The following is a 6,000-nucleotide window of genomic DNA, read 5'->3' as shown; positions in this document are numbered from 1 at the left end:
GTGGAGAATCCTTAGTGCTGCTCCACATACCACTCTGGTCCCTTTTAACAAAGATTAAAAGCAAAACCCAAGAGAGCCGGACTGTTTCAAAGTAACTTAACTGTATTCAAGAACAAAGCTCAAGACAATTTAAAAGAGTACAACATATCTAAGAACCAACAAAGTAAATGTGTAGTACCTGGCATCAGAAAAAAAAAAAAAAAGAAAAAGAAAATTATTTCATTTTTTTTCCAAGATGGCATTAGAGGCTTTTAACATGCCTCAGCCACTTGGAAATAGCAAGGTAGTGCATAAAAATTGACTCTGTGAGCTTTATTTCAAAATGGAAATGGGACACCCCAGATCCTGGGGAAGAGAACACCAGCAAAAAGCCCCCGTGAAGACATTCAGCTGATAAGAGTGAGTGCAGCCCCAGAACACGGGAGAGGCAGAGAGCTACCCTCCATGACTCACCTGTCCACTGGGGATCCAAGCCACCCAAGCCAGGGAGAAAACTTTGTTTCTCCCCAAGACCTAGAGCTAACTTGGGGACAGGCTTGGAGATCCTCAGAGGAAAAGACACTAGGAAAAGCTGCAGACATTTTCCCAGACTGGGAGCAGGAGCAGTTTTAATCTGGGCACACACAAAGTCATCATTTGGTAACGCAGCAGTGTCGCCATATAGACATTTTAATCTGAAGCCAGAGATCGGGAACATGTGCTTTGGAGCAGAGTAGGAGCCTCCATAGACATAGCTATGGAAAGCGCCTCAGCAGTAGGTGCTGGAATTGTGCCCCCGCACCCCATGTTACAAACCTGGGCCCAGTTTCTCCCGGGAAACGAGACTTGCAGCCAGGGCCAGCTTGGTGACCTGGAACCTGTCTGCATGTGTCCCTGCAGGGTGCTGAGGGAGAATACCTTCAGCAGTCACCGAGCACCCAGAGGTGTGCCTACATGTGGAGCTGGGAAGCCTCTTTGGCTCCAAGATCTTGGCCTGCTGCCCTGAGATCTTGGTGCGATGAGGCCCTATCTGCTCCACACTCAGGCAGATCTCCAGGCATTTGGGGCACCTACTCGCCTGGATGAGCAACCTGAGCTGCCCCACCGTTCCTACACAGAGATCCTGGTGCAGGGGGGCTCCTTCCACTCCATGCCTGGCAGATCACCAGGCATTTGGAGCACCCACTCAGTTGGACCAGCAGCCACTCCACCCTTCCTGTGCAGAGATTATGATGTAGCAGGGGCCTCTCTGCTCCATACCCATGCAGCTCTCCAGGCAGTCAAAGCACCCACTCACCTGGATTAGCAGCCTGAGCCACCGTATACGTTGTGGTACAGCAGGGCCCTCTCTGCCCATGCCTAGGCATGTCTCCAGGCATTCAGAGTAACAGCTCACTTGGATTAGCAGCCTGAAACACCTCACCCATCCTGTGCAGAAACCTTGGTACAGCAGGGCCTTCCATACTTCATGCCCTGGCAAATCTCTAGGTATCTGAAGCACCCAGTCTCCTGAATTAGCAGTTTAGGCCACACCCCCTCCCCATGCAGAGTACTTAGGGACAAGGAGGTTTCCCAGCTCCACATCTAGACACACGTCTGGGTGTTTGGTGGCTGTTCATTATATTCTCCCTCAGCACTGGTGCTTGTGCCATACCTGGTCCCTCCCCTTGCATTTTTGCCTCACCTGTACCCCTCTCCCCACTCCAGAGCTGAGCAGGGAACTCAGACCACTGTGTACTTCACAGATCAGCTCACTGCCTGAGGCAGCAGAGAGTTTCTCCCAGTAAACATGCATCAAGTATATACCCAGCCATATCTGCCACAGCTGGCTCTTACCCATAAGCACCATCTACTGGCTTGTAGGTTAGCCCAATATAAAACCTGCTGACAGAAGTGCATACAGCTATAAAAGCAAAACCAAGAGACCCTACCCAGCATTCTCTAAAGCCACACCCCCTGGTGGGGAGAAGGAAAAGGAAAATTTTAAAATAATAATAATATTACAGGGAAAAAATGAAAAAGAAAAAATCTTATCCACATAAAAATGGTTATAAAAGTTAGAATTGCCAGCATCTCCAAATGAGAAGAAACCGGCACAAGAATTCTGGCACTATGAAAAATCTGAATGTAGTAACACCACCAAAAGATCACACTAGTTTTCCAGCAATAGTCCCTAACAAAATGGAAACTCAGAAATGACAGACAAAGAATTCAAAGCATGGATTGCAAGGAAGCTCAATGAGATCCAGGACAAGACTGAAAATCAACACACAAAAAAACTTTTAAAGCAATCCAGGAAATGGAAGAAGAGATAAACATCTTTAAAAAAATAAATCAGAGCTTCTGGAATTAAAAAACTTACTTAAGCAATTTCAAAACACAATTGACAGCTTTATCAATAGACTATACCAAGCAGAAGAAATAATTTCAAAGCTTGAAAAACAGCCTTTTAAACTAACCAAGCCAGACAAGAATTTTTTTAAAAAAAGAAATTTAAAAAGCACACAAAGTCTTTGAGAAATATGGGATTATCTTTGAGACATATGGGATTATGTAAAATGACTAAACCAATGAATTATTGGCATTCCTGAGAGAGGAGAAAAAGTAAACAAACTAGAAAATATATTTGAGGGAATAATTCAAGAAAAGTTCTCTAATCTTGATAGAGCAGTAGACATCCAGATACAAGAAATCCAGAGAACATCTGGATTATACAGGTGTCCTGGAGATATTATACAAAATGAACACCCCCAAAGCATATAGTCACCAGACTGTCCAACATCAATGCTAAAGAAAAAATCTTAAAGGCAGCTAGAGAAAAAGGTCAGATCACGTACAAAGGGAACCCCATCAGGCTAACAGTAGACTTCTCAGCAGAAACCTTACAAGCCAGGAGAGATTGGGGGCCTATTTTCAGCATTCTCAAAGAAAAGAAATTCCAACCATGAATTTCATTTCCCACCAAACTAAGCTTCATAAGCTAAGGAAAAATAAAATACTTTCTAGATAATCAAGTGCTAAGGGAATTCATTACCACTAGACAAGACTTACAAGAGATCCTTAATGGAGTTCCAAACATGGAAATAAAAACACAATGCCTGATACCACAAAAACACATTAAAGTACATGGCCCACAGACCCTATGACGCAACCACACACTAGAAACTGCAAAGAAGCCAGCTAAGTTCACAATATGATCAAACCCTCACAATCTCAATATTAACCTTAAATGTAAATTGTCTAAATGCCCCACTTCAAAGGCATAAAATGGCAACTTGGCTAGGAAAAAAAAAAAAAAGACAAGACCCATCTATCTTTCTTGAAGAGACCCATCTCACTCACAATGACACCCACAAGCTCAAAGTAAAGCCTTTGATTTGTTGGAGAAAGATCTATCAACAAACAGAAAATTAAAAAGAGTGGGGTAATTATTCTCATATTAGATAAAACAGACTTTAAACTAACAACAGTAAAAAAGGACAAAGGGGAACATTACACAATGATAACAAGTTCAGTTCAACAAGAAGGCTTAATTATTCTAAATATAAACACACCCAACATTAGAATACCCAGATTAATAATAAAACAAGTACTTCTAGGCCTACAAAAGACTTGAACAGTTACACAATAATAGTGGGGGATTTTAATGCCCTACTGACAGCATTAGACAAATTATTAACATAGAAAATTAACAAAGACATTTTGGACTTAAATTCAACACATGAGCAATAGGACCTAATAGATATCTGCAGGATACTCCACCCATCAACCAAAGAATATACATTCTTATCTGCACACAGAACATAGTCTAAGATAGACCACATGTATGGCCATAAAGCAAGTTTCAATAAGTTCAAAAAAATTGAAATCATACCAACTATACTCTCAAACCACAGTGGAATACAAATAGAAATAAATATCAAGAAGATCTCTCAAAACAACACAATTAGACGGAAATTAAATAAATTAAGGCAGAAACAAAAAAATTACTTGAAATATTAAAAACAGATATACAACATACCAAAATCTCTGAGATGCAGCAGAAGCAGTGTTAAGAGGAAAGTTCATAACATTGAATGCCTATATCAGAAAGTTAGAAAGATTTCAAATTAATGGTCTAATGTCACACCTAGAAACGACAAGAAAAGAAGCTAGAGAAGCTAGAAAAACAATACCAAACTAACTTCAAAGTTAGCAGAAGAAAAGAAATAATTTAAATTGGAGCAGAACTGAAAAAAATTCAGACCCAAAATACCATATGAAGAATCACTGAAACCAGAAGTTGGTTATTCGAAAAGACAAACAAATTCAGTAGACTGCTAGCTACATTAAAAAACAACACAAAAAAGAGAATATGCAAATAAGCAGAATCAGAAATGGCAAAGGTGGCATTACAACCAACCCCACAGAAATATAAATGATCCTCAGAGACTATGATGAACACCTCTAGGCATACATACTAGAAAATCTAGAGGAAATGGATAAACTCCTGGAAACACACAACATCCCAAGATTGACTCAGGAAGAAATCAAAATCCTGAACACACCAATATTGAGTTCTAAAATTGAATCAGTAATAATAATAATGATAATAATAATAAAAACCTATCAATCAAACAAGCCACAGATGGATTCACAGCTGAATTGTACCACTACGGGCCAATATCCCTGATAAATATAGACACAAAAATCCTCAGCAAAATATTAGCAAAATGAATCCAGCAGTACATCAAAAAGTTAATTCACCACAGTCAAGTCGGCTTCATTTCTAGGACACAAGGTTGGTTCAACACAGGCAAATCGATAAGTGTGATTCACCACATAAGCAGCATGTAAAACAAAAATGTATGATCATTTCAATAGACATGGAGAAAGCTTTTGATAAAATCCAACATCCCTTTATGATAGAAATCTTCAAAAAACTAAGCACTGAAGGAACATACCTCAAAATAATAAGGCTCATTTATGACAAACCCACAGCCAACATCATACTGAGCTGGCAAAAGCTGAAAACATTTTCCTTAAGAACAAGAATAAGACAAGGATGCCTACTCTCACCACTCCTATTCAACAGAGTACTGGAAGTCCTTGCTAGAGCTATCAGGCAAGAGAAAGAAATAAAAGGCATCCAAATGGGAAAAAGGAGGCAAATTATCTCTCTTCACTGATGATATGATTCTATACCAAAAATCCCTAAAGACTCTACCAAAAAGCTCCTAGAACTGATAAATGACTTCAGTAAAGTTTCAGGATATAAAATCAATGTACAGAAATCAGTAGCATTTCTATACACCAGTAACATTCAAACTGAGGGCCAAACCAATAACACAATCCCATTTACAATAGCTGCAGAAAAATGAAGTATCTAGGAATACATCTAACCAAGAAGGTAAAAGATCTCTATAAGGAGAACTATAAAACATGACTAAAAAAAATCATAGATGATACAAACAAATGAAAAAAAAATATTCCATGCTCATAGTTTGGAAGAATCAATATCATTAAAATGGCCATACTGCCCAAAGCAATCTACAGATTCATTGTTATTTCTACCAAAGTACCAATGTCATTTTTTACAGAATTATGGAAAAATATTATAAAATTTATATGGAGTAAAAAAAAAAAGCCGGAATAGCCAAAACAATTCCAAGCAAAAAGAACAAAGCTAGAGGCATCTCATTACCTGACTTCAACTAATACTATAACGCTACGGTAACCAAAACAGCATGGTACTAGTACAAAAACATAGACGCATAGATCCATGGAACAGAGTAGAGACCCTAGAAATAAAGCCACACTTCTATAGTCATCTGATTTTTGACAAAGTAAACAGAAATGAGCAATGAGGAAAGGATTCCCTATTCAATAAATAGTACTGAGATACCTGTTCAATCATATCCAGAAGAATGAAGATAGGTGCCAACTTTGAACCATATGCAAAAATTAACTCAACATGTTTAAAATTTTAAAATACAACAGATACTGGTGAGGCTGTGGAGAAAAGGAAATGATTATACACTG

This window comes from Homo sapiens, chromosome 1 (assembly GCF_000001405.40).
Source record: "Homo sapiens chromosome 1, GRCh38.p14 Primary Assembly".
Lineage (NCBI taxonomy): Eukaryota > Metazoa > Chordata > Mammalia > Primates > Hominidae > Homo > Homo sapiens.
The sequence above is the reverse complement of the archived record's forward strand: the minus strand, read 5'-3'. Positions refer to the sequence as shown.